The sequence below is a fragment of the Homo sapiens genome, chromosome 3 (assembly GCF_000001405.40).
Source record: "Homo sapiens chromosome 3, GRCh38.p14 Primary Assembly".
Lineage (NCBI taxonomy): Eukaryota > Metazoa > Chordata > Mammalia > Primates > Hominidae > Homo > Homo sapiens.
In genome coordinates this window covers 108,172,260-108,199,301 of record NC_000003.12, presented here as the reverse complement: position 1 = coordinate 108,199,301, position 27,042 = coordinate 108,172,260, and the positions used below count along the sequence as shown (strand labels likewise).

The 27,042-nt window shown below is 34.9% G+C and overlaps 1 protein-coding gene across 1 annotated transcript in view, besides 2 other annotated features; it reads left to right on the top strand.

Annotated features, from left to right (window-relative positions):
- Window positions 1-27,042, top strand: part of IFT57 (intraflagellar transport 57) — a 61,613-nt gene that overhangs the window by 23,123 nt on the left and 11,448 nt on the right. Inside the window, exon 6 of the mRNA NM_018010.4 lies at window positions 7,659-7,781. Within this exon, the coding sequence (NP_060480.1) occupies window positions 7,659-7,781 (123 nt within the window). The remainder of the gene's footprint in view (window positions 1-7,658; window positions 7,782-27,042) is intronic.
- Window positions 9,753-9,953: a silencer, noted in NCBI's record as "peak4761 fragment used in MPRA reporter construct". NCBI's record gives its function as "represses an SCP1 promoter by STARR-seq MPRAs in K562 erythroleukemia cells {active_cell/tissue: K562}" and the evidence as "EXISTENCE:reporter gene assay evidence [ECO:0000049][PMID:32103011]".
- Window positions 15,803-16,003: a silencer, noted in NCBI's record as "peak4760 fragment used in MPRA reporter construct". NCBI's record gives its function as "represses an SCP1 promoter by STARR-seq MPRAs in K562 erythroleukemia cells {active_cell/tissue: K562}" and the evidence as "EXISTENCE:reporter gene assay evidence [ECO:0000049][PMID:32103011]".

Below are 27,042 nucleotides of genomic sequence, written 5' to 3'. Positions count from 1 at the left end.
TACAGCATACCACCTGTACCAGCTAGTTTTTGGAAGTTAATCAAATTTTATTTTTACCTGCTTATTGAAAAAACTTTATTCTTTTTTAAAGTAAAATATGTTCCGTGGGTTTTTTTAAAAAATGAAACAACAAAAGAGTATAAAGAAAAATGTGAAAAGTTTCCCAAATCTCAGCATTCAGATAGAAACATTGTACCCCTTTATTCATAATTAGCCCAAAGTTATGTAAGATGAGAACATTTGGAAGTGGTGTCTGAATGAAGGGTATATGGAAATTTTTTGTGTGATATTGATGCAATTTTTTATAAGTCTGAAAATATACACAGAAGTTAACAAAGTAGTATAGAATCTATAAAATAATACAAATATGTGGTAATGTTAGTATATGAAGCAATGCAAATCAGTGAGGAAAACTGAACTGTTCAATTAAATGGTAAAGAGATAATAGGCTAATCCATTTGTAGAAAAGGCTGGATTCCTCCCTCATACATTACACCCAAATTAACTCCACATGGATCACAATAACAAATAATAAGGCACAAAAATAAAATAAAAACACGAGGCCGAGTGCAGTGACTCACGCCTCTAGTCCCAGCACTTTGAGGGCCATGGTAGGTGGATCACTTGAGGCCAGAATTTCAAGACTAGCTTGGCCAACATGGTGAAACCCCATCTCTACTAAAAATACAAAAATCAGCCAGGCATGGTGGTGCATGCCTGTAGTCCTAGCTACTTGGGAGGTTGAGGCAGGAGAATCACTTAAACCCTGGAGGCGGAGGCTGCAGTGAGCCGAGATCATGCCACTGCACTCCAACCTGGGTGACAGAGCGAGACCCTGTCTCAAAACAAAACAAAACAAGACACACACACGCACACACCAAACATGAGGAGTGACAAGTGTTATAGTTTGAAGTAGGCATAATTAAGCATGACAAGAAAATCAAAAACATAAAATACAAATCTGAATGCATAAAAATTAAAACTTTATATTACAAGAAAGCAGAGTGGGGAACACCGTTAAGTTAAAATACAAGTGATGAACTGGAGAAAAATAATTATAGCCTATGTGCAAAGGGTTGATAGACATGTGCTAAGGTGTTTTAGAGCTTGTGCTCTAGAGTAACACTGCCTGACCTACCAATCACAAGATGTGACATTGAAAAAGTCATGTAACTATTCTGTGCCTCAGTTTCCTCACTTTAAAAGATGGTAATAAGACTCCCTGTTTCATGGTGTTATTATTGGGCATTTAACCCATATGTAAAAGCATCTAGTACCGTGTTTGGCATGTAATAGTAATGATAATAACTGCTAAAATATACCAGGGGTTAATATGTATTATACACTGTGCAAGCCTTTTAAATACATTGTCTCATTTAATGCTCACAGCAACCCTTCCAATGAGGAAGGTGCTGTTATTCTCATTTTACAGATGGGTACTCCGAGATTTAGAGAGGTTATGTAACTTGACCAACAGCTAGTAAGTCATGGAGGTGGGATTTGAGCAAAGATGTGATTCCAGACCCATCCTCTTAACATTTACACCATGCTGTTGTGACTCTTAAGACAACTTAGTTCCCTTTTCCTTGAGTCTTGGGAGTATTTAATCTTGAGAGTTAATTGGACTTTTAACACCCTCTCAGTAGGTATATGATATAAGCTCTTCAAATGAATCTGGACACTAGTATATCCATGAAGTTGCCATCTCATGTATATTTTTACAGAACATAGCCTTTCTTTGATGCTTGACCAAAGATTACTGGAACAGGATTCTAAGTAGGCTTTTAACACTGTATGTTTGATTCTTGAACTGACTTCGATGGTGTGCCCCACTGTTTGAGCCCAAGGTTACTTTATGGGATAGTGTAGACTGTTATTTTCAGTTCTTCCTTTGGCAGTTAGGATCAGTTCCCATCTCATCAGTTTCTCCTTTTACCTAGGACCAATTATTACTCCCATTAACTGGCCTCAGACTTTTCCTAGTAGTCTGCAAACTCTGCAGGCAGCATTTAAATCCTTTTAGCTTTCCACACCAAGCACAGTGCCTGAATTCTTACCTTGAATGTTGTAGGAGTTTAACAAATGGCTTATTAATTTAATTAATTATAAATGAGACTTCTAGATAACTTGTGTCTTATGAGCTTCTAATTGTTTCTTCTGCAGCAGTAACTGGAAAATGGAATTTCCCAAAAGCAATGCTTTATATTAGTTAATGTGTTAGAGAGGGACTTTGTCATGATGATATAAAATTTTGATTAAATGAAAAGCAGTTTATTTCTCTTGTACAAGTGACCCACATAAAGTACCATTTATGAAATGGAAAAACAATTGGGAAGAAAAATTTTCTCAAAGTATTATAACCAAGGCACAGTATAGTTTTAAAATGATTTATACTTTATATATAGGGCTTGCTCAGTTAATGTATCAAGTTATTAGGCATTAAGAAATGTTGAGTGAGGAATGAGGTTATGAAATAGATATGCAAACATGGATGTAGAAAGAAACTGTATAGTTTGAATAAGTTAATGCTGCTCTGCCAAACCTAATGTTCTCTTTTTGCCCTTTATTCACTTAGCAACTGGGCCATTTCCCCTAGTATATTAATTATGGCCTACGAGTGAGTGAAAATTTTTGAGCTCCTATGTTAAATCATTTTAGAACATTGGGAGTGGGAGTTAGCAAATCGTTGCTTAAGGGAACCAAATAATAAGCTAGTAAAGGTAAATGCAACTTACTAAAGGGCCCAACATAAAAACAAATAGCTTATGCAGTGGCATATCTTAATGCAGTGTTTGATCTTTATGTACCCTGCTGCCTCAGATTCTAGGTCTAGTTCAAATGGCCACTGCAAACCCATCTGCCTTTATGAAAAATGCCCTTCCTTCAGTAAAACATTTTGAGTATGTTATTCACAACTTGAACAATCCTACATCCAGGCCTGAAGAAAGTGGTAGTATGGACGGGTGTGCGCCCTTGTCTTGTTTGGTGATTCTGAACTTCAATCTTGTAAGGAGGGAAAGAAAGAGGGGTTGGAAATGAGGGTGGAAATGAGGGTTGGAGAGCACTGGCTTTGGGATTTAATCAACAGCATCTAGCTTCAGTTCACCCAAATGGTACTCCATAAATCAAACTTATTTTTATATATTTTTTATTTTTTTATCTTTAGTTATTATGAACACATAGTGCATATTTATGGGGTGTATGTGATATTTTGATACAAGGCATACAATGCGTAATGATCAGATCAGGGTAATTGGGCTATCAATCACCTCAAGCATTTATCATTTCTTTGTGTTAAGAACATTCCCGTTCCACATTTTTAGGTATTTTGAAATATATAATACATTACCGTTAATTATAGTTGCCCTATTGTGCTACCGAACACTAGGTCTTATTTTTTCTATATAACTAATGCAGTTTTAAATAACTATATTTTCATACCCAATAACCATTCACTTTTTATCCCTCCTCCCCGCTACCATTCTCAATCTCTGGTAACCATCATTCTACTCTCTACCTCCATGAAATCTACTTATTTTTACCTCCCACATATGAGTGAGAACATGTGATATTTGTCTTACTGTTCCTGGCATATTTCATTTAACATAATGACCTCCAATTCCATCCATGTTGCTACAAATGACAAAATTTCATTCTTTTTATGGCTAAATAATATCCCATTGTGTATATATACCTTGTTTTCTTTATCCATTCATCCCTTGATCAACACTTAGGTTGATTCCCTATCTCGGCTATTGTGGATAGTGCTGCAGTAAACATGCGAATGCAGATTTCTCTTTAACATACTGATTTCCTTCCTTTTGGGTATATGCTCCGCAGCAGCATTGCTAGATTATATGATAGATTTTTAGTTTTTTGAGGAACCTCCAAAGTGTTCTCCATAGTGACTGTATTAATTTACTTTCCCACCAACACTATACAAGTGTTCCCCTTTCTCCATATCCTTGCCAGCATTTGTTATTGCCTGTCTTTTTGATAAAACCATTTTAACTGAGGTAAAATGGTATCTTGTGGTTTTGGTTCGCATTTCTCTGGTGATTAGTAATGATTAGTGATCATTTTTTCGTATAATTGCTGGCCATTTGTATGACTTGTTTTGAGAAATGTCTCTTTTTGATCTTTTGCCTATTTTTTAATTAGATCATTTGGGTTTTTTTCCTACTGAGTTGTTTGAACTTCTTATATATTCTGATTGTTAATCCCCTTTCAGATGGGTAGTTTGCAAATATTTTCTCCCATTCTGTGGGTTGTCTCTTCATTTTGTTGATTGCTTCCTTTTCTGTGCAGAAGCTTTTTAGCTTGACATGATCCCATTTGTCCATTTTTGCTTTGTCTATCTGTGCTTTTGAGGTCTTACTTAAGAAATCTTTGCCCAGACCAATGTTCTGGAGTGTTTCCCCAGTGTTTTCATGTCATAGATTGAAGTGTTTAATCCATATTTATTTGATTTTTGTGTATGGTAAGAGATAGGCATCTAGTTTCATTCTTCTACATATGAATATCCAGTTTTTCCAGCACCATGTATTGAAGAGACTGTCCTTTCCACAATGTATGTTCTTGGTGTTTTTATCAGAAATGAGTTGGCTATAAATGCATGGATTTAAATCTGGATTCTGTATTCTTTTCCATTGGTCTTTGCATCTGTTTTTATGCCAGAACCATGCTGTTTTAGTTATGGTAGCTTTGTAGTATAATTTGAAGTCAGGTAATGCAATGATTCCAGCTTTGTTCTTTTTGCTCAGGATTGCTTTGACTATTCTGGGTCTTTTGTAGTTCCTTATAAATTTTAGAATTTTTTTTTTTATTTCTGTGAAGAATGTCATTAGTATTTTTATAGGGATTGCATCTGTAGATTGCTTTGGGTAGTATGGACAGTTTAATAATATTTATTTTTCCAGACCATGAACTTGGAATATCTTTCCCTTTTCTGTGTCCTCTTCAGTTCTTTCATCAGTGTTTTTGTAGTTTCATTCTAAAGATTTTTTCACTCCTTTGATTAAGTTTATTCCTAGGTATTTTATTTTAGCTGTCGTGAATGGAATTACTTTCTTGGTTTCTACTTCAAATTGTTCACTGTTGGCATATAGAAATGATACTGATTTTTATATATTGATTTTGTTCCCTATAATGTTACTGAATTTATCATTTGATGCAATACCTGCATTCTATTAAGAATCACTCAGAACTGCTGCTGAGAGGGCATGCTGTCTTGTTTCAGCCTGGTTTTGCAGGATTGGGATTGCCCATAACCCCTGGCAGGAGTAACCCTTTGTGTATACCCACACACATGCCCTGAGGTCAGGGCTCACATACCACTAGCAAGGCATATGTCCTCACTACCCCAGCCCCCATTAGTCTATCCTGTGTGGTATAGAAAATGAGAAGCTGGGTCTCGTAGAGTCTAAGACAGGTACTCAATGTGCCAGTGAATGTGCATATGCCTAGTTCTTCCAAACATATGCATCTTACTGATGCCAGTGTGGATTTACATGGCAGAGAACCTTCCCTATTGCTTTAGGTTTTGACACAGAGACCCATTATCTCTTTTCCTGCCATAGTACACATTCTCATGTAACTTCACATGTATCTGCTTTGTGAATGCAGCACCTCCTTCCCCAGCTATGATACTCTTGGGCTACCCTAGATCCAATATATATAGAAGTATACAGCATTAAGTACTCAGAATAATACAATGTTTCCATATTTAAATGTTTAAAGTAGAATCTTGAGCTTTTTTTTCACATTTTACTTAATGTTTTGTTTTTTTATACTTCTGGTTTTCTAAATGGAATGTAACTGAATACATTCAGACCACATATTATACAGTGTAAAAACATGTATTAGTTATCCATTCTCAAATGGTGAAGTTAGAAATATATAGTCCCTTGAATCTGAACAAAAAGCAGTATAGGCTTTAAGGCTCTGAGTCTAAACAGGACTTGCTGTTATGAGCTAGGAGGTAGGAGAGGCTTTCTTATGTTAGCTCTGTTCCAGAGTCTTAATTGGGAGTGAGTTCAAAGCCTCTAATGACCTCAGTCTCCCACAAAAATACAAACCCTAATGTAAGATTAATCTTCTGATTAGTGTTACATCTGATTGGAAAGACTAATCCAATGAGCTTTCATTTAAGAAATGTGATTTTAGTGACATAAATATATATTGAGAATGTAATTTCATCATGAGGTTGTTCACCTAGTTTTTGTTTTTAAATTTTGTGTTATGGAATGTTTCAAACATATACAAAATTAGAATAAGATAATGAACATGCCACGCTATCCAGTTTCAACAGTTGTTAACATTTTGTCAATCATGTTTTATTTAAAGCCGCCTCCCTTTTTTTCTTTGCCTCATAGTATTTTAAAGTAAAATTCAGACATTTTGTCAATTCATCTGTAAATATTTTAGCATTTATTTCTAACTTATAAGGCCCTTTTAAAAAAAACCATGCCATGTCATATCTATAAAATTAGTAATTTCTTAATATCATCCAGTATCTCCCATATTAAAATTTCACTGATTGTCTCAAAAATATCTTTTTATAGATTATTCAAATTAGAATTCATATAAGGTTCATACATTTTAAGTCTGTTTATATCCCTTTAGTATCTTTTTCTCTATATAAATATTGATATTTTAATTTTTTCTTTAGATTTACTTATAATTTATTAAGGGAGTTAAAGGGAAGAATTGGTACCAAAATTACTGCCTTAGATTTTATCTTTAAATCATTAATCTACATTATTCATATTTTCAGATCCATACATACTTAATGCTGAAATGTGAAGGGCTGAGAAAAAAGAAAAGAGTAGGCCTTTTTTGTTGTAATTCAGAAACAATCATGATTGATTTTTATTATTCCAATGCAGAAAGCAAATGCAGAAATTTGGCCCCCTCCCTAATTGAGTTCAAGTATGTCTATATTAAATTACGCTTTAAGCTATATTGTAATTTGACCTAATAAATTATCACTTCAATTATGAATACAAATTTTGTAAATAGTGATTCTTTGCTTCTGGAATTTTTTTATATTTTGTCTTTCAGATTTGGGGTTTGTATTTCAGTGTGATAAATTTAAGTGTTTCCCTTTTTTTTTTTTTTTTTTTTTTGAGACAGAGTCTCGCTCTGTCACCCAGGCTGGAGTAGTGCAGTAGCATGATCTTGGCTCACTGCAAGCTCCGCCTCCCGGGTTTACTCCATTCTCCTGCCTCAGCCTCCCGAGTAGCTGGGACTACAGGCGCCCACCACCATGCCCGATTTAAGTGTTTTCTTACCAAACATGAGTGAGTTTTCTTACCAAACATCTTCTCTACTGTTACCAATTAACATACCTAAATGGCTTGTTGGTCCATTTGATGGTATTCCTATTGAGTTCAATCTGATGTCTCAGAAACATTTTTCCTTGTAAAAATAGTTGAATCATATATTTGCTTCTTTTTTAATACATATTTTGCTATTCTACCAGGTTGGTGCATTATTTTCTTTCAACATTGTAGGAAGACAGAAAATAATTTCTTCTTCCACTATAATTTTAACACTACCAATTCTTGATTTAAATTGTGCAGTACTGCTAAAATGCCTCAAATTTTTACCATTTCTTTTTATAAACTCTCAATCTTGTGATATCTTTCCTTTCTTAGGATATGAACGAGACTGCCAAACAAGAAGATATTTTGGAATCCACAACAGATGCTGCAGAATGGAGCCTAGAAGTGGAACGTGTACTACCGCAACTGAAAGTCACGATTAGGACTGACAATAAGGTATCAAAGTGGGAACACATTTTCTTAAAAAAAAAAAAAAGTTATAAGGAAACTTCAGGGTTAGGGGTACTCCCAATTATAAAAATTATTAAAGAAGGGCAGTAGGATTCAGTTTTCAGCATTTTGTCTTAATAAGGATTTAACAAATTGTTGTTAAATAACTAAATAATGTAATGTGGTCCAAAAAGCAAAGCAAAGATCTTTAAAAGAGTGATTTGGAAGACATCATATTTGCCTAGTGTTGAGGGGTATTTTCTCAGAAGATTTTCTGGGAAATCATATTATGTTTAGATGAATAGGAATTCCATGACCATACCAACTGATTAGAGTTATAAGATGGTTTAGAGCTCTGCTGCATGGCAAAACAGAAAGCAGCCTGGAAGTGGTCTTAGATAATCTATTCAATACATGTGATTAAAAATAAAATGCTGGCCAGGCGCCATGGCTCACGTTTGTAATCCCAACGCTTTGGGAGGCCGAGGTGGGCAAATCATGAGGTCAGGAGTTCGAGACCAGCCTGGCCAATGCAGTGAAACCCCGTCTCTACTAAAAATACAAAAATTAGCCAGGCATGGTGGCACGTGCCTGTAATCCCAGCTACTCAGGAGGCTGAGGCAGGAGAATCGTTTGAACCCAGGAGGCAGAGGTTGCAGTGAGCCAAGACTGCACCACTGCACTCCAGCCTGGATGACAGAGCGAGATTCCATCTCTAAATAAATAAATAAATGTTAAGAAAATAATCAAGAAGTCATATTTAATAAGATTTAGGGATTAGACCAGATTAACTTGCCCATTGTATCAAGTTTCTACTTCCTTTCTAGTTACAATTTGATAAATACTGTTGTATTAGTTCGTTTTTGTACTGCTATAAAGAACTGCCCAAGACTGGGTAATTTTTAAAGGAAAGGTATAATTGACTCATAGTTCAGCATGGCTGGGGAGGCCTTAGGAAACTTAAACAATCATGGCAGAAGGCCAAGGGAAAGCAAGGCATCTTCTTTACAAGGCCGCAGGAAGGAGAAGAAGTGAGCAGGAGAAATGCCAGACAATTATAAAACCATCAGATCTTGTGAGAACTCACTCACTTTCACAAGAACCCCATGGGGAAACCATACCCATAATCCAATCACTTCCCACCAGGTTCCTCCCTTAACACTTGCGGATTACAATTCAAGATGAGATTTGGGTGGGGACACAAAGCTAAACCATGTAATTCTGCCCCGGCCTCTCCCAAATCTCATGTCCTTACATTTCAGAACACAATCATGCCTTCCTGACAGTCCCCCAAAGTCTTAACTCATTCCAGCATTAACCCCAAAAGTCCAAGTCCAAAAACAAGGTTAATCTGAGACAAGGCAAGTCCCTTCCACCTAGTAGCCTGTAAAATCAGGGTTTGAACTGCACAGGTCCACTTATAGGCAGACTTCCCAATAAACGTTACAACCAGTATGCCTGCTGTTCTGCGTCCTCTTCCACCTCCTCTTCCCCTTCTGCCTCTGCCACCTCTGAGACAGCAAGACCAACCACTCCTCTTACTCCACATGAAGACAATGAGGATAAAGATCTTTATAGTGATCCACTTCCACTTAATGAATAGTAAATACATATTTTCTTTCTTATGATTTTCTTAATATTTTCTTTAGTTTACTTTGCTGTAAGAATGCAGTATATAATACATATAACATAAGGAATACGTGTTGTTTATATTATCAGTATCATTTCTAGTCAAAAGTAAGCTGTTAGTTAAATTTTTGAGGAGTCAAAACTACTGCACAAAGTGATCAGTGCCCCTAACGACCAACCTCTGCATTGTTCGAGGGTCAACTGTAATGACTTCAGAATAAGTTAATAGGTAACTAGGCAATACTATTCTAGTGGTAGTGTAAATATCTCTACAAAAGGGGCTAAAGAGACATCTAGATAAAAAACTGAAGGAGAATTTTCATCCTTGGAGGAGGTTGTACATAAGCCCCCAGTGTTATGGAATGAGGTTCTAGATAAGCTTATCACTCTGAAAATGTGATCCTGTGTCTGCTTCCCCCACCAAAAAAACCAAAAAATCTTACAAACATTGCTGTTTTCAGAATGCCTTAGAAGCTAATTTATTCTTAGAATGTCTCCATTTGAGCTTGTACAACTGTGTCTCAGAGCAGGTAGGAAGTAAGCTAGATTCCTAGAGCAGTCCCGGGATAGGGCGAGAGCAACAGAGGTCTTACTACACTGTGAACAGCTGTAGAACAAATTCTATTCAATGTAAGTGGACAAATCCTGTAGTCCATTTACCTACTTGTTATAGAGGACAACTATTAATTGATTGCATTGCAGGTGAATTCTTTGTATAGCTCTCATATCTAAAAATATATTAATAAGAATTTCTTCTTCACTGATTAAGCAAAATCTTCTGGAAGTCTTCATTTGCAAAAATGTGATTTCTGATTTTTTGGTTTTGTCAGAACAAATTCTTTTCATAAAATTAAAAGTCACTATTATTGTGATTCTGGTTATAATGATGTGTTAAAATAATTGTATAGTTGGAAACTCTCAAGTACAGCTTAATCCCACAAGGAAGCAAGTTTAATTTGTTTACTTTCAAGCTAAGTAAACTCTGGAAGTCAGACATCTCATTTAAAGTCTAATAGGGATTTTTTAGATTGCGGTTATTGATTTTTGCATTAATAGGAGTAACTTAAGAATATAAATGTAACTGCTAACACACACTCTTTTACAAAACTATGTGCAGGTCAAATTCTATAACAGACCAGTATTGCCATCATCAAAATCCTGAGTTTTTAAATCATCAGTGTCCTCCTGATTTGGGGAAAAATTAATGAGTTGAAAGTTAGACCCTTATTCTCATGCCATTCTGTAGGCCTTAATCTTATGAGGATATACCCTGTCAAATTAATTATAAAATTAAGTTTTATGGCCAGCATTCCAAAATATCAGATAAAGGTTTTTTTCATTATTTTTTAGAATATGTAGATATCATTTTGAATTTAGATCTTTGTGGTAAAAACTACTGACCAAAGTCATATTCGATTGCTTTTTTAGAATTCTTCTTTAGATAGTTTGATCTTTGTGTCTAGTATTTTACAAACTTCTCTTTCTTTTAAGTCTTTCAGATATGGCAATTGGGAAATACACCTTTAGGGTCAGGTGAATTCTTTATTTAGCTTATTTAAAAATAAATGTATATACTGGCTTGAGAAAATAAGGAGCTAATGAAAAGTTTCTCATGCCTCAGAAATAAAAATAAACCATCTGGTTACATATGAGCTCTCTTCTCACAGACTCATTCTCCTCCAGAAGAGGTGGACTCCAGCATCGTGGTCGACCCTTTCCTTCTCCACTCCTCACTCTATCAAAATCAAATAGACACTTGGACACAGGAAGGGGAACATCACACACTGGGGCCTGTTGTGGGGTGGGAGGAGGGGGGAAGGATAGCATTAGGAGATATACCTAATGTAAACGACGAGTTAGTGGGTGCAGCAAACCAACATGGCACATGCTACATACGTAACAAACCTGCACATTGTGCACATGTACCCTGAAACTTAAAGTATAAAAAAAAAAAACAAAAACCTTTGTTTTCCCTTTGGCCAAAATAATAACCTTTCACTCAACACAGGCTATCTAGGACATCTAGAGATTTTACCTGTGTGTTTTAAAGAAAAGAAAAGAAAAGAAATGTATTATTTTGGGGTCAGTGTGTTTTACTGGTCAGTGTTGGATTAATTTTGAAGTGGTTTAGAGATGAGAGAGACAAGTAGTAAAGGACCTCTGTTATTTAAATTTGGTAGTAAATAAGTCCCATATTTATTTGGCTCTGGATCAAATATGTGTTTTGCGTTTTTCTCTCACACTTTTTTTTTTTAATCAGGCACCCTTCTGAGCCATAGTAGGCTCAGACACTCCCCCCCTTTTTTTTTTAACTTACATGAAAACAAGTTTAATTATTAGAGAAGTAAAGAAACAAAATCATGGCTACTCCATAGGCAGAGCAGTCTTCTCTCACACATTTATTCTTTTTATGCTTCCTAGCAGGAAATTACAGGAAAGTAAATCTCCTTCTCTATTCTTTTTATGTATTTCAATGTATGTGCTTTGATGAGATCTTATCATGTAACAATATTTTATTTTGTATATTCACCATAATATTGCAACAAGGTTTTTATTGCTAAACTAGCTTATCCCTATTGTCTGGCACCACTTGCTACTATTGCCAGTTCTCAAAGAATGCAAACTAATTTTAATATTAGCTTAAACAGAATACAATTAGGAAAGTAAATGTTGCCAAGAATACAAATAATATGCTTCACAGCTGAAGATAAAGAATTTTTGTTATATGCTGATTTGAATGGACCATATTAATGGTTCATTTTTTTTGGCATTGATTATAATGTTCCTGGTAATTACAGTTGACCCTTGAACAACATGAAGGTTAGGGATGCCAACCCCTGTGCATTTTAACTTTTGACTCTTCAGAACTTACCTACTAATAGCTTACTGTTGGCTGGACACCTTACTAATAACATACACAATTAACAGATATTTTGTATGTTATATGTATTATATTCTGTATTCTTACAATAAAATAAGCTAGATAAAAGAAAATGTTAAAAGAATCATAAGGAGGAGAAAATATATTTACTATTCATTAAGTGGAAGTGGAGCATCACAAAGGTCTTCATCTCCATTGTCTTCCCATTAAGAAGGCTGAGGAAGGAGGAGGGACTAGAGGAGGAGTTGGTCTTGCTGTCTCAGGGGTGGCAGAGGCAGAAGAAGTGGAGGAAGAGGAAGGGGAGGCAGGAGAGGCAAGCACACTGGTATAACTTTATGGAAATGCATTCTAATTTCTGGCTTTTTTTGCTTTTTCATTTCTTTAAAAACGTTTCTGTATATTACCAATTCTTCCGCAATTTGGTTTAATTTTTCATTGAAGGGTCCACGTTATAAAACAAGTCCAAAGTAGTCTTGAATAATCAGAGCCCTTCTGCCAGATTGTCCAGTATCAAATTTGTTTTCTGGTACTACTTCTTCTTCGTCTTCCTCCTCATTGTTTGGCATGGTTTGGAAGCACTTATCTCCATCAAATCATCTCCTATTAATTCCTCTGGTATTTTTATTAACTCTTGAATTTCTCCAAAATCCATATTTTGAAACCTGTTATCCCCACCAACATTTTTTTTTTTTTTTGGCATAGCCACAGTCTCTATCATGATTTCCTTGATTGTCTCTGTCATAAATCCTGTGAAGTCCTGCACAACATCTGGCACAGTTTTCTTCAGCAGGAATTTGTTTTAGACTTCATGGCTTTTACAGCTTTTTCTATAACAACAATGGTATCTTCATTGATATAATCCTTCCAGACTTTTATGATGTTCTCTCTTTTGGGGATCCACAGTGTTGACAATTCTTTCCATAGAGTACTATGTGTAATAAGACTTAAAGGTCCTTATGACCCCCAATCTACTAGCTGAATTGGAGATGTTGTGTTTGGGGGCAACTAGACCACTTCAGTGCCTTCGATGTTTAAGTCATGGGGTTCTGGGTGACCAGGGGCATGGTCCGATATCAAAAAACTTTAAAGGGCAGTCCCTTACTAACAAGGTACTTCCAGACTTCAGGGATAAAGCATCGATGGAACCAGTCCAGAAAAGGGGTTCTCAGTGTCTAGGCCCTTTTCTTGCACAACTAAAAGACTGGCAGCTGGTGATTATCTCTTCCTGTCAAGGCTCAGGGGTTAGCAGTTTATAAATAAGGGCAGTCCTAATCATAAACCCAACTATATTTGCATAAAATAGTAGAATTAGCTTATCCCTTCCTGCTTTAAATCCTAGTGCTGGCAGGAGAATCGCTAGAATCCAGGAGGGGGAGGTTGCGATGAGCTGAGATTGCGCCATTGCACTCCAGCCTGGGCAACGAGCGAAACTCCATCTCAAAAAAAAAAAAAAAAAAAAAAAAAATCCTAGTGCTCACATCTCTTAGTAATAAATGTCTTCGTGGCACTTTTTCTTTTTTTCATAACAGGGCACTTTAGTCTGCATTAAAAACCTGTTTAGGCAGATATCTTTTCTCCACAGTGATATTCTTAATGGCACCTAGGAACTCATCTTCTGCCATTTAGTCATCAGAAGCTGAGTCTCCTGTTATCTTGACATTTCTTAAAGCCAAACCTCTTTCAAAAATTATCAAACCATCCTTTGCTGGCATCAGATTCTCCAGCTTTAGATCCTTCACCCTCCTTTTGCTTTAAATTGTCGTATTATATCTTCATTTTTTCTTGAATCATAATGGAGGCTATAAGTATGTCTTTCTTATAGAAATCCTACACCCACATAAAAGCTGCATTTTCAGTATAAGAGAAAAAGTATTTTGCAAAAAGCGAAAGGTTTTTGTGCCTGCTGTCATAGCTGCAGTGATGGCTTCCTGAATTTTCTTTTTTTATAATGGTTCTTATGCTGGATTCATTTATCTTGAAATGACAAGAATCCTCAGCTGCAGACCTCAATCTACAGTACATGTCAAGCAATTCATCTCTTTATTGTAATGTCAGGACTTTTCGCTACTTCTTGGAAGCACTTCCAGCATTGCAAGTGACATTTGTATAGGTCCCATGGTGTTATTCAGGGTTTATGCTAAACATGAAAAATACTTGAAGATATTGCACTAAACATGAAAAGTACACGAAAACCTCAAGAAATAACTTTTTACTGTGATACACAATTTACTATAGAGACTAACTGCTCACTTGGACATGATTAACCTCACACATTTTAAGCAATATTTGCAACACTTGAGCTCATCACAATAATAAGAGGTGGCTACAAAATTATTATAGTAGTACAGATTGTACTACAGTTAATTTTATACACTTATGATTTAATACTGCATATCTACCTTTGTTTACATTTCTCTCAACTGTAAATGGTGCCACATACAGTCTGTGTTTGTGTGCATAAATTTTGGTAATCTTTAACTTTTTATAATAGTTTTTTTTGTATATTTATGGTAGTAAATAACATAGACTAGTATCTATGTATATTTTATGTGTTTATAACATACCTAACTTTTTCTTAATTTTTTCAATATTTTAGCCTGTGTGGTTCATCTGCAAGTTTTTTCAAATTGTTGCAAATCTCTAGAAAATTTTTTTGTATATTTATTGAAAAAAATCCGCATATAAGTGGACCCATGGAGTTGAAACCAGTGTTGTTTAAGGGACAGCTGCACTTCTAGGGTGGTTATGTATCCAGAGAACAATTCAGATCTGCCTCAAGTTGGAATAATGTGTCTAAAGATGCAGCCAGAAATTCTGCTAAGGAAGTAAAAATCAGCCAAATCCTAGCTCATGCCACTTTAGCAATGCCTCGGTTATGACCTAATGAGTATGGCTCAGGAGTCCATTTCTTAGAAACTGACTGTCTGAGGATGCCTAAACTAGAGTAGTACTTTAGGACAATTATTGAAGGATAATACTTTCCTACATAATTAAAAAATTTTAAATTCCTTATAGTAACATATAAACTTTTTAAATTTTTACATGAATCAATTGAAAGTTGCTGAGTTGAATATAACAATAGTTGAAGCTGAGCTGCCAAAGAATTCTCCATGTTCCATATTTCTGGAGAAATAGAAAAGGTGAATGCATATTCATATAAATTTTTACTTTCTGTAATTTTGATTAATTTTAAATTGCTAAAGAAATATTTAATGCTGTTTCTTGAGGAAGAATATTCTTTTTGAGTTTTTACTATAAAAAGCAAACCTTAGACTTTGTTAAAATAAATGGAGACCACGCAAGTGAGACCAAGCAAAGGCTATTTATTCAAAGCTTACTGTATAGCAAGGGTGTCAGCCACCGTCATGTGTGTTTGGCAAAGACTCAAAAGCAGGTAGGAAAATTTAAATGATTTTTAGTGGAAAAAAGGGAAGATTTACTATATGTTCAGATATGGCTGGTAATCTTCAGGTGGGCTAAACTAGAAGCAGGGTATAATATGTGACTGGCTGGTTAAGGGAGGGGAGGATATTTGGCTTGGTCTGGTTGGTCCTACATTGAAAGTGGGTGGCACACAAAAGTGGGGAAGCCAGCAGTCATTGATTAAACCCTGTTTGGGGCTGATTGCTACAGAGGCTGTGGTTTTGCTTCCCGGTCTGGCTGCTGCAGATTGTGGGTCAGAGTTATATATTTGTATATGAGCTGGCTGTTGTCTGTTGTTTATTTGTACAATTAGTGTCTCAACTTCATGTATTGACCCAAAGGAAAGTGGCTTCTAAAGTCATCAATCCTATTATTCTTCATGAAGAGCATGATTTTTTTTCAAGGCAAGTTTTTTTTAAATCACAATGGAAACCAAATAATCATTAATAATATTTATTCTTGTTCTCTAGAAATAAGGAAGAGCAGAAAGTGTGAAATCAGTTTTCAACTAAACCCTACTTAGGCCCTTTTCTTCAATTATGCAGTACTTATTACTAAATGATTGTGTGTTATAGTGATTTAATATTAGGCATTTAATGCAATGAAAAAATGTTCTAACATGCTTTAATGCCCTGTGGATATTGTAATTAGAATTTTGATTAATGACTTAAGTAGATTTTTTCCAAATTATAATTAAATGTTTCTTACTTTGTTGTTTTAAAAGATAGTTGGGTAGGTATCCCCTTCATTCCACCAAAATGTCTCTAGTATTAATAATTATGTAAATCTTCAGATTCATTACAAGAAATTTAGATAAAGAGATTATTTTTAAAAGGCCTTGGAAGTATTACAGTATGTTTTTCTAATTATCTCAAACCTTTGACTTACTGAACTGCTTTTTTTAATACTTACCTATTCATTTAGTGTCTGACTTAGAGTGCAGTTGTAAAAAGAACCTTAAACTTTAAATTTCAACTCCAAGCCATTGGATTTTGGTTTAACATAAATAAACTGTATAAGCGTTGCCTTGAGTGATTCACAGCAGGAAACATTTCTGGAAGAGTCATTGTGCTAAGGATGGAATCATTGCAATAGTCTTGAACCCCTGGGCCTCTCTAGTCACAGTGAGAGCCAAAACCTGAGAGGGAGAAGAGAGGCCTCCTTTAATCAGCAGGTAGAATTCCATTTGAATGAACCTGGAGGGACCACAGAATTGCTATATTAGATCTAAGTCTCTTAGAATTGGAAGCCAAATCCTGCAGAAATTTACAGTGGTAGGCGTTCTCATATTATAGACAAATCTGTATCCTCTAGAAACAATAGAGGATTTTTTCCCCCTCATTCCAAAGCAGTGGAGAGAGTAACTTGATTTGACCTTCTGCCATGGATGCAGTATAAGTGGGTATTAATAAAATTTAGCTTCTCTAAATATTTTTGACCTGCAGGGATTTATAAATTGTTATAATTTAGGAATGAAGAGTCTTTGTTAAGACTTATACTCTGGTTGTTAGTTAGGATATATTGATAGGATCCTTGCATCCATGAGCAAAAATATATATAAACTGTGGCCTAGAATATGGGAATACGTTTTATGTATATAATCGTTATTAAAATGGGACTCTGCCTGTTATTTGAATAATGGAGAAACTACAGTTATAATTCTTACAGATTTTCTGGTAGACCTCTGTTGAGAAATATTCACGTAATTTAAAGAAAAACAAGGTGCCAAATAAAAAAAATTAGCTTTTACAATTACCAGTAACAAATGTAAATACAGGTGGCAATAAGTCGGTCTCCACGTGGCTCAATGCAGGAATAATAGCTCCAATTACTGTCACAAATGTTTGTAATTGTATCTATTGCTGCCAGACAATAAATGCTTTTTAATATAGTAAGGCCATAAATGTACATGCTGCTGTTTAAACAAAATACAATTTTCAGCAAATTTATCCTTGAAACACCTGCTATAATCAAAAAGAGGTGAATGCTATTAAAATAAACTGCCTAAATTAACTAGACACACATACATTTTTAGAGCAGCTTGTATGATTACTCAACTGCCATGACATCTCAGAGAACGAGGGGAACTATTCACTGATGGACTTTTACAGACAAGCTTTCTTTAAGAGAGACTACATAAAACAGAATGTTGTTTTGGGCTGTTGTATTTTTAAACAAGTGTTATTTTGTGGACTTAAAGTTGTATTGCAAGGTCAGCTGTTTGTTTGTTTCATGTGGATCCTGGACAGGTATCAGAGTTGTGGGAATATTGTGCTTAAAATTATACATGTAAAAATACAGTAAAGGGGTGGAGAAAAACCTAGCTATTCTTAGCAACTAAAAAAGATTTTTAGTTGCTTCTGTCATAGTCTTGTTGAACATTCAGGATATTCTGTGTTTAAAGATAGTTGATGATGCCTGCCTTCCTATTTACCCTGAGTGTGATAAATGTTTCAACTGGATCAGAGAAAGGTTCCGTTTATCACAAGTTGAAATAAGAGAATGACTGTTTTTGCTTTAGAGATTACCGTAAGTTGTAACTAAAGAGCATCAAGAGTGGTAGCAGATTTTAAGGAAATAACCAATAGACTTCATGTTATATAAATACTGCAGAGGGAAGTTGCTAATGCCTCACTGTTGATATACCTCAACTAGATATTTGTGATTGAAAGCAGTGAATTAATACACATTGATTATAATTAAAATTTCTAGACTACCTAAATATTTTATGATTGCAAAGAATGATTTGTTTTTTAAAATTACTTAATATGAACTATGAATTGAAGCATAAAGCCTTTGTCATATGGACCTTGCTATAAAATATACTTTTTATTGGCTTGACTCATTTTTCTAATCAATTATATTAGAGTAGTTCTATCACTGAGTTTTATTAAAAATTTCTTAATATTCTAACAAATTTTACGCCTATGGTTTTTATCCCATTTATTTGATTTTGTTTCCTTCTACCAAGTAACAATTTATGTTTCTTGGTTTTTCAAATATGCAGGAGTTAACTCTTGTTTTTTAGAGTTTTTTGAGCTGGGAGGAAGTGGGGAGTTTTATCAGTATGAGATCCAAGTTTTGATTCATACATTCCTGAAGGTGGGAGTACTATTGGGGTCACCTGTTCTGGTGTTCCACTGTGGTTACTCAGCATCTTATAAAATAATTAAATTCTGATTTGGCCTCTGGGTGTTCCCACATTCTCACAGAGGCCTGATTCACTCCCTGTCTGACTTGCCAAATCTCTTCTCTTTGCTTGTAACTCCTTCTAAAGCCTGGAAACTCTCACACAGAAGATCGATGTGGCCATATGAAAGGGGTGTTAATGGAGTAAGCATAAATAATAGGTCTGAGTCAACATATGAAAACTCTTTAGTAACAGATGGTAGTTTGTAAAGATAGCCTTCGAGCGTGTTAGAAATGTAATTATTTCACTAAAAGGTATTATATTTAGAGGTTATAGATCTCCAGTTTCAATTCTGTGATAGGTAGGTGTGAGAATACCAGTGATTATCATAGCCTTCCTTACCGATGATGTACAGTGTTTTATTTTTCTCTACAATGAGATGAATTTCTAGAAAGCAGGAACATCCCTGAGGAAACACATATTTCCAGCGATCATGATTATTCCCACATTGCCTGCAACAAATACACCACAATATATACCACACATAGATACTTTTTTAAAGTAATATGTGTAGTTCTTTAACGCATAAAAATAAAAATTATGCTTTTACACCACAAGAGTGTACCATAGAAGACTTTAAGCTGCTGGCAATGGAAGAAAAAAATGTCAGATTTAAAAATTTAGGAAAGCCACATTCTATAATTATCCTGCAACCTAGTGGGCATTTTTCATTAGAAAAGTTATTCAATCTCATTTTTAAAAAGTTATTTAATTGAATAGACAGTCTCACTCTCTTTTTTGCTCTTTCTCTCACACATATACACTCACATACACAAATAGATACACAAACGGGGGCAGTAATGAAATGAGAAACTCTGCGAATGAGAAAAAGAAGAGATTGCAAATCTGCTTGTGCCAAGTGGCAAAAAGAGAATACAGATAATGTTCTTTTATTAGGGAAGGGAGGATTTTCTGTGGAGGACAGAAATATGCTGCTCATATCCTTGCAGAAAGCATGATAATTTATAGATTTTTGTCCGAGAAGTATTTCCTAGAGTAAACTTAGATATGTGCACCTCCTTCTATCATGGTATTTTCCTTGCCCCTTTTACTTAATCTGATTTTCTGCCATTCAGATTTGCAAAGAATTGTTGACCCTAGATGAGTTTTTAGACATGTCACAGGAAATCTCAAGACTTGTCACTTTTGGAATATAGCTCTCACTTGGCCCTACCTTTCTACCACTGCAACTAAAATTAAAAATCTAATAACTGAGTCTCTCCCTGTGGTTGAAATAGAGTTTGTTATCCAGATCCCCCAGGGCCTTGCTGCCCAGCTACAGAAAGTATGGTCAGCAGACAGCCTCTAGCTCTCCACTCTTTCAGTGGCGGATTTGCCTAACTCAAGGTCTCATCCTTCCTGCATCTGAGTATATGTGAGTTATTTCCAGTTTGGGACTATTATGCATAATGCTGCTATGAAAATTCTTCTATATGCTAAAACACATAGAAGAATTTTCATAGCAGCATTATGTACACATTTCTACTGGAATGTACACATTTCTACTGGAATTTCTGCTAGGAGTGGAATTGCTAGGTCATGGTGTAAGTATGTGATCAGCTGTAGTAGACTCTGCCAAATAAATTTTGAAAGTGGATAAAAATTATATTCCTGCCAGCACTGTGTGAAGTTCCAATTGCTTCATATCTTTGTCAACATTCAGTAGTGTTTTAATCTTTTTTATTTTAATCATTGTGGTAGGTATGTTATGATATCTCATTGTCATTTTAATTTGCATTTCCCGGTTGACTTATGAGGTTGAGCCACTTTTTCATAAGCTTATTTAGCTTTTGGATATCTTCTTTTGTGTTTAGCCATCGGGCCATCTGCTTTTCCTTTTGATTTATAGAAGTTCTTTATATATTCAGGATATGAATCCCTTGTCAGATATGTGTACTGCAAATATCTACTCTAGCTGTCCTTTTCCTTTTTGTATTATGATAAACAGTGACTTAACTTTAATATACTCAAAATGATTTTTTTTGGGGGGAGCAAGTGTGGCTAATACTTATGTTTTAAGAAATCTTTGCTTACCCCAATATTATGAAGATATTCTCAGACTGTTTTCTTTTTTAAGCTTTATTGTTTTGCCCTTCAGAAGATTTGCAATCCATCTAAGTTTGATTCTTGTGTATGGTTGTGAGGTAGAACTCAAGACTTACTTGGTTTTCATATGTATACACAACCAACCCAGACAGTTTACTGAAAAGGTTATTCTTTCACCAGTACACTGCTTTGTCATAAATCAAGTGAGCATGTATGTGTGAGTCTGTATCTGTACTCTGTATTTTATCACTTTAGTCTATTTGTTGTTATTTGATACTATTGAAAATGGTTTCTTTTAAATATATTTTATGTTTATTTGTTGCTGGTATATAGAAATACAATTTTTTATGTATATCTGTATCTAGCTGTGTGTGTGTGTGTGACTTGTTAAATTCACTTTAAACAGTAGGCCTGTAAGTTATTTTGACTTTTCTGATTTATAATTATGTCATTCGCAGATAACATCAATCGTCATTCTTTGTGAGCCTTTTGTGTTTTTACTTTCTCTTGCCTGCTATACTGGTTAAGAACTGTAGTCTTATTTTGGGTGTAAGTGGTGTTATCAGGGAGAATGCTTCCAGTATTTCAGTTTCACCATTAAGTATGATATTATCTTTATGTCTTTTAGAAATATCCTGTAGTAAATTAGGGAAGTTCCCTTGTGTTCCTTGTTTGCCAAGAGGTTTTGTCATGAAAGGACATTAAATTTTTTTCAAATTTTTTTTTCTTCATCTCTTGAAATGGTTATACAATTTGTCTCCTGTCCCCCCACCTTGTGTTGAATTATATTGATTGATTTTTTTGGTGTTAAACTAACCTTGCATTTTGGAATAAATGCAACTTGATTATGATATATTATCCTCCTTACATATCACTGGGTTTGATTTGCTAATATTTTAAGACTTTTATGTCTGTAATTACAAAAGGTATTGATCTGTAATTTTTGTTTGTTTTTAGGGATCTTTGTCAGGTTTGGGTATAATGTTATGCAGGTCTCATAAAACAAGTTGGCAGTTGCTCTCCGTTTTTTTCTATTGTATGGTAGAGTTTGTGTAAGGTTGTTAATTATTTCTTAAATGTTTGGGAAGATAATGAAGCCATCTGGGGTCTGGATATTTTTTCTGATAACACTGATAATTACATATGTTTATCCTAAGAATGTTTTCAATTCATTTTTATTGCATTATTAATATATGAATAACCTTCTTGTAAGAACTCAAATATTACAAGTGAACTGAAGTCTCCCCTAACCATTATCCACTTAAAATTTTTAGGTATACTTTACTACATTTTATCAAGGAAAATGATGTTATAATATAGTGGTCATTGCAACTTTGGGCTCTACCATGGATTGACCTGTGTGAGTTTACAGTCTGCTTAAAAATAGCTAAGTGTCCATTTCCTCATCTTAGTAGACATTTTAAGGGAATTATATGTGTTGATTTACCAGTAGTGCTTAGCATAGTGCCTAACACATACTAAGCATTCCATGAATGTTAACATTATAGTTATCATTATTAGATTTAAAAAGATCCCTGGAGGGATGTGATTGTTGAGGTACTACTCCATACCCAAGGAAGGAGAGAGAAAAAATTTCTAAGTAACTAAAGTGGATAACACAGAAGAAACTGTACTGAAGCTTTATGCATTTTGTTTGAAGGAGAGTCCTATAAATCCTTCTTTGGGACTTATTTATCCTTGTTTTAGTAATGGTTCTAGTAAGGTTATTTTATCTGGATTGTCTGTCTGCAGAAGATTAGAAGCAGCAACCTTCCCTCGTGTTCATGCTTTAGCAAAACGACCAGGATAATAAACATTCATTTAATGTACAAACTTTGAATTGAGAGTTATGAGAACTTCTTGTGCTTCTTACTGAAATTGGGTGACAAAGAAAGGAAATGAAGGAGGCTGCTTGATGTAATAGAAAACCTATAAGAGAGAGAAAAGATACTTGGTTTCCTATTCATTTTGTGATTGATGATGTTAAAAAATCACATGACCTCAATTTGTTACCCGATCTGTGAAATGGAGGTATAGGATTTCTTTCTCATACGTTAGAGTGATCTTGAAAATCTCTAGAGAAAATGAATTCTGTGTTGAAACAATGGCCTGAGAAAAATGCAGATGTCTTAAATGGAGCCGTAAGCGCCCTTGTAAATAGTTTTAAATTCACTAAAATAAAACTGCAAAACAGAACATTGAATTAAGGTTTCACCGGTAATTATAATGGAATTGTAATTACCATTATAATTGTGGGCAGTGAGAATAGAGAAGGGTAGAGTCAATGTCAGATAGAAGTAACGTTTTTTGATGGAAAGTGATTCAACACACATCAGAGCCTTGGAGCTCTGCTCTTGCTTTTTTGCAGGGAGAAGCAAAAAGTGCGAATAGACCTCCATGAACTGCTACAGTCAGTTGTGGTCTGGTGAGGGTTTTTTCTGAGCATAGAAAAAAGCATCCCAGCACACGGGAAGGTGACTTCCATGGCTTTTTTCTATCAATAATTCTTTAGCACTATGCCTCTCCACTCGCAAAGTCAAACTTTTTTTTTTTTTAAAGAAGGTTTGGTATTTTACAAGTTGTAAACTAATGAAACCGATACATAGATGTAAATTCCATTTACCATCTCTAGCTCTAGCTCATGATTTAGTTTCTCTTTTTCCTGCAGTTTCAGAGAGAAGCTTTAAGCATTGAGTTGGAGATCTAGACAAAGAAAATGCCTCTTCATACACAAAGGAAATCTTTCAAGTGTTATTGTGTTGAAGTAAAACCCAGAGATCCTTATAGTCTTGCGAGTCACCTTAACAGCTGCAACTACATCTCATACTTTTTGATTTTATGGTGTACTGTGAATCACCATCTCCAGATACTTCATCACAGTTTTTCAGTTTCTGAAGAAGGGAGATAGATAATATTATAATTTAGTGCTAAAGAATTTGGAGTGGGGAGGGGATCTATGGTTACAATGATACCTTTGCTATTTACCTAATAAGTGATAGCATTATACATGTGATTTCATATGAGAGGATTTTGAAACATAGAAATTCTAAAGAAATGATATACTGTAGTATTAGTGTTCTCAATTCCATTGAGAGAGAAAATATGCAAAATTGAGTGAAATATTCATCTTCAGTAGAAAGAAGAAATGATGCCTAATGAACACGTTAGAGCACTTTAGAATAGGTGACCAGTAGACCCCAGCAAGAACTTGATAAATAGCAAAAAGAATTCTCGGTTTATCTTATAAATTCTTTGGTAGTTTATTTTATCCCCCAAAAAAGCATTATGTAATATGCGGAAAATACACTGTTTTGAGATTGCTTTGCATTTTTCAGACATAAAACTTTGCCAAAGTCAATTAGCCTATCTGATTCTTAGTTTTTCTCACTATAAAATACATATATGTAGTTAATTTTTCTGCATAACAAACAACCCCCAAATCACAGTGGCTTGCAATAACATATTTATTTTCACATACAATACATATCTGCTGATATCTGCTTCAGCTGCACCTCTGCTCCAGCTAGATTCTATGTTTCTTACTCTCAGACCCAGGCTGAAAGGATAGTCCCTATGTGGGGCATGCTTATTATTATCATGGCTGAAAGAAAGAGCAGGAGAGCAGATGAATGGATGTTTCTGACAGCTTCTGCACAATCCTGGCATAGACCATGTCCACCATCATTCCACTGGCTAAAGAGAACCACATAGTGAAGGTCAGCATCAATGAAGCAGGAAAGTGTTCTCGTCCCACAACCAGCCAGCAAATCTCATAAACCTCTTAAAGAGAAGGTAGAAGTATAAGAAGAGATGACAATATCTATTTATCTCTCCAAACCTTTGGGAGTCTCAAATAAAGGAAGTCATATAAAAGTGCATTGTAATCTAATGGATTCTCTACTAATGTAAGAATTACTCTTATTGTTGAACAGTTCCTTTTAATGTTATTTATTTCAGGGATCCAGATAGATTTCAAGTCCTTACATATCATTAAAACCCACTTCTTCTTCTTCATTTTGACACAAACTTCTGTAAAGCTTTTAACTATCGCAGTTATGTTAATAGTTTTTCAAAAGATATATATTTTGCCTTTTTATATTCATGTTTTTAAAATGCCACAGTTATAATCATTTATATTTTTTTCCATTATAACTATATTAAACCCCTTTCAAGAACTTCTTGGGCATCTAGAAGGTTTTTGTCTTTTTTTCCTGATAATTAAAGTAATACAATTTCCTTATAGGAAATTTAGAATATTCTGGAATGGTAAAGAAGAAATTTAAAAGTACCCATATTCAAATCCCTGTCTTAAACACACACACACACACACACACACACACACACACACACACACACACACTCAAATATATGCAAATACTGATTTTTACTAAATAGGACACCTAATGAAAATACTCTTTTTGAGACTGTATTTTCCACTTTAATATATGTTGTTAGCATGCATGTTTGCTGTTCATTAAATATTTTTTGAGAACATGAATTTAACATTTTAATGTTTAATATTACTGTATATAATATACTATATTATATACACACACACACACACACACACACACACACACACACACACACAGAGTCCCTGACTTACCATGGTTCAACTTAACAATTTTTCGACTTTACAGTGGTGTAAAAGTGATATTCATTCAGTAGAAACTGTGCTTTGAGCACCCAGACCTCCATTCTGGTTTTCAATTTCTGTACAACATTCAATAAATTACATGAGATATTCACTATTTTATTATAAAGTAGAGTTTGTGTTAGATGGTTTTGCCCAACTGAGGCTAATGTAAGCCTTTCAAGCACATTGAAGGTAAGCTAGGCTAAGCTATATGTTCGGAAAGTTAGGTGTATTACATGCAATTTTGACTGGATATTTTTAGCTTATGATGGGTGTATCAGGTTGTACCCCATCTTAAGTTGAGAAGCAATTTTAATTATGAAGCCCAATAATAAACACACCCCCAACTTGAGAACTAGACCATTACCACCTGAAGTTAGCTGTGTGCTCCTCTGCTGCTGCCCCTTCCCACCCACAGTAATCACTATCCTCAAGTTTGTATACAGTGTCTTTGTGTGTGTGTGTGTTTGCATATGTTTGTATCCCCAAACAGTGTATCACTGAGTTTTACTTGGTTTCCAGATTTATAAAAACAGTATCATACCACATTATTTTTAGTAGTAGAATGAATATTACAAAATTAATTTAATCTGTCCTTTGCTGTTAGATATTTAGTTTTCTGCTGTTTTACTTTTATCAGTAACTTGTACATTAATCTTTGTGTATTCCCAATTATTTCTGTGAGAATAATTTCTAGAAGTTAGGGTAAGAATACTTTTTGACTTTAACTTTATATCAGGCATGTGTCCATCTAGAAGATTTTAATAAAACAAATATTCAGATTTGCCTCACAGGTAATTACAAATCATCACTGGCTCAACACTTTAATGGGCTTTATAAATACATGAATGTCCCAGTAGCTTATCAAACTTAAGTGCAAACACAAATTCCTAGTATTTTTAACTTCCCTAAAATCTCTGCTGTTCTTGTCACACTGTAGTATTAATATCCCCTCAGTTCCTCAAGCTGGAAACCTTAAAGACACATTGTCTCTACTACCCCACCTTCACTTCAGTCACCCCATATGCGTACTTCACTTTAGTCAGTCTTCAAGTTTTGCTAGTTCTGCCTCTACAATGTCCCTTGATGCATCCCTTCCTTTCTATTCTCACAAGCATTGCTCTAATTCAGACCTGGCTAATCTATATCATGTGGACTATTAGCCTTCTAACTGGGTCCCTACCTGCCTTCAGTCTCTTGCCTTTTTAATCAGTCCTTTACTCTGTTACTTTCTCAAAACATACACTTATCTTTAAAACTGAAACCAAAAATATCTGATAGCTCCCCATTATGTACATAATAAAATCTATACTCTTTAGTTGTTATAAGCAAAGCCCTTGATCTAATTGAACCTCTCTCTCCAGCTTTATTTTCTTGTGATCCATCCTCCCCAGCCCATCCCCAAGAACTTTGTGTTTTCCATGCTAGACAGCTGTTGGCTGCTTGGTCTCCATGTATTTTC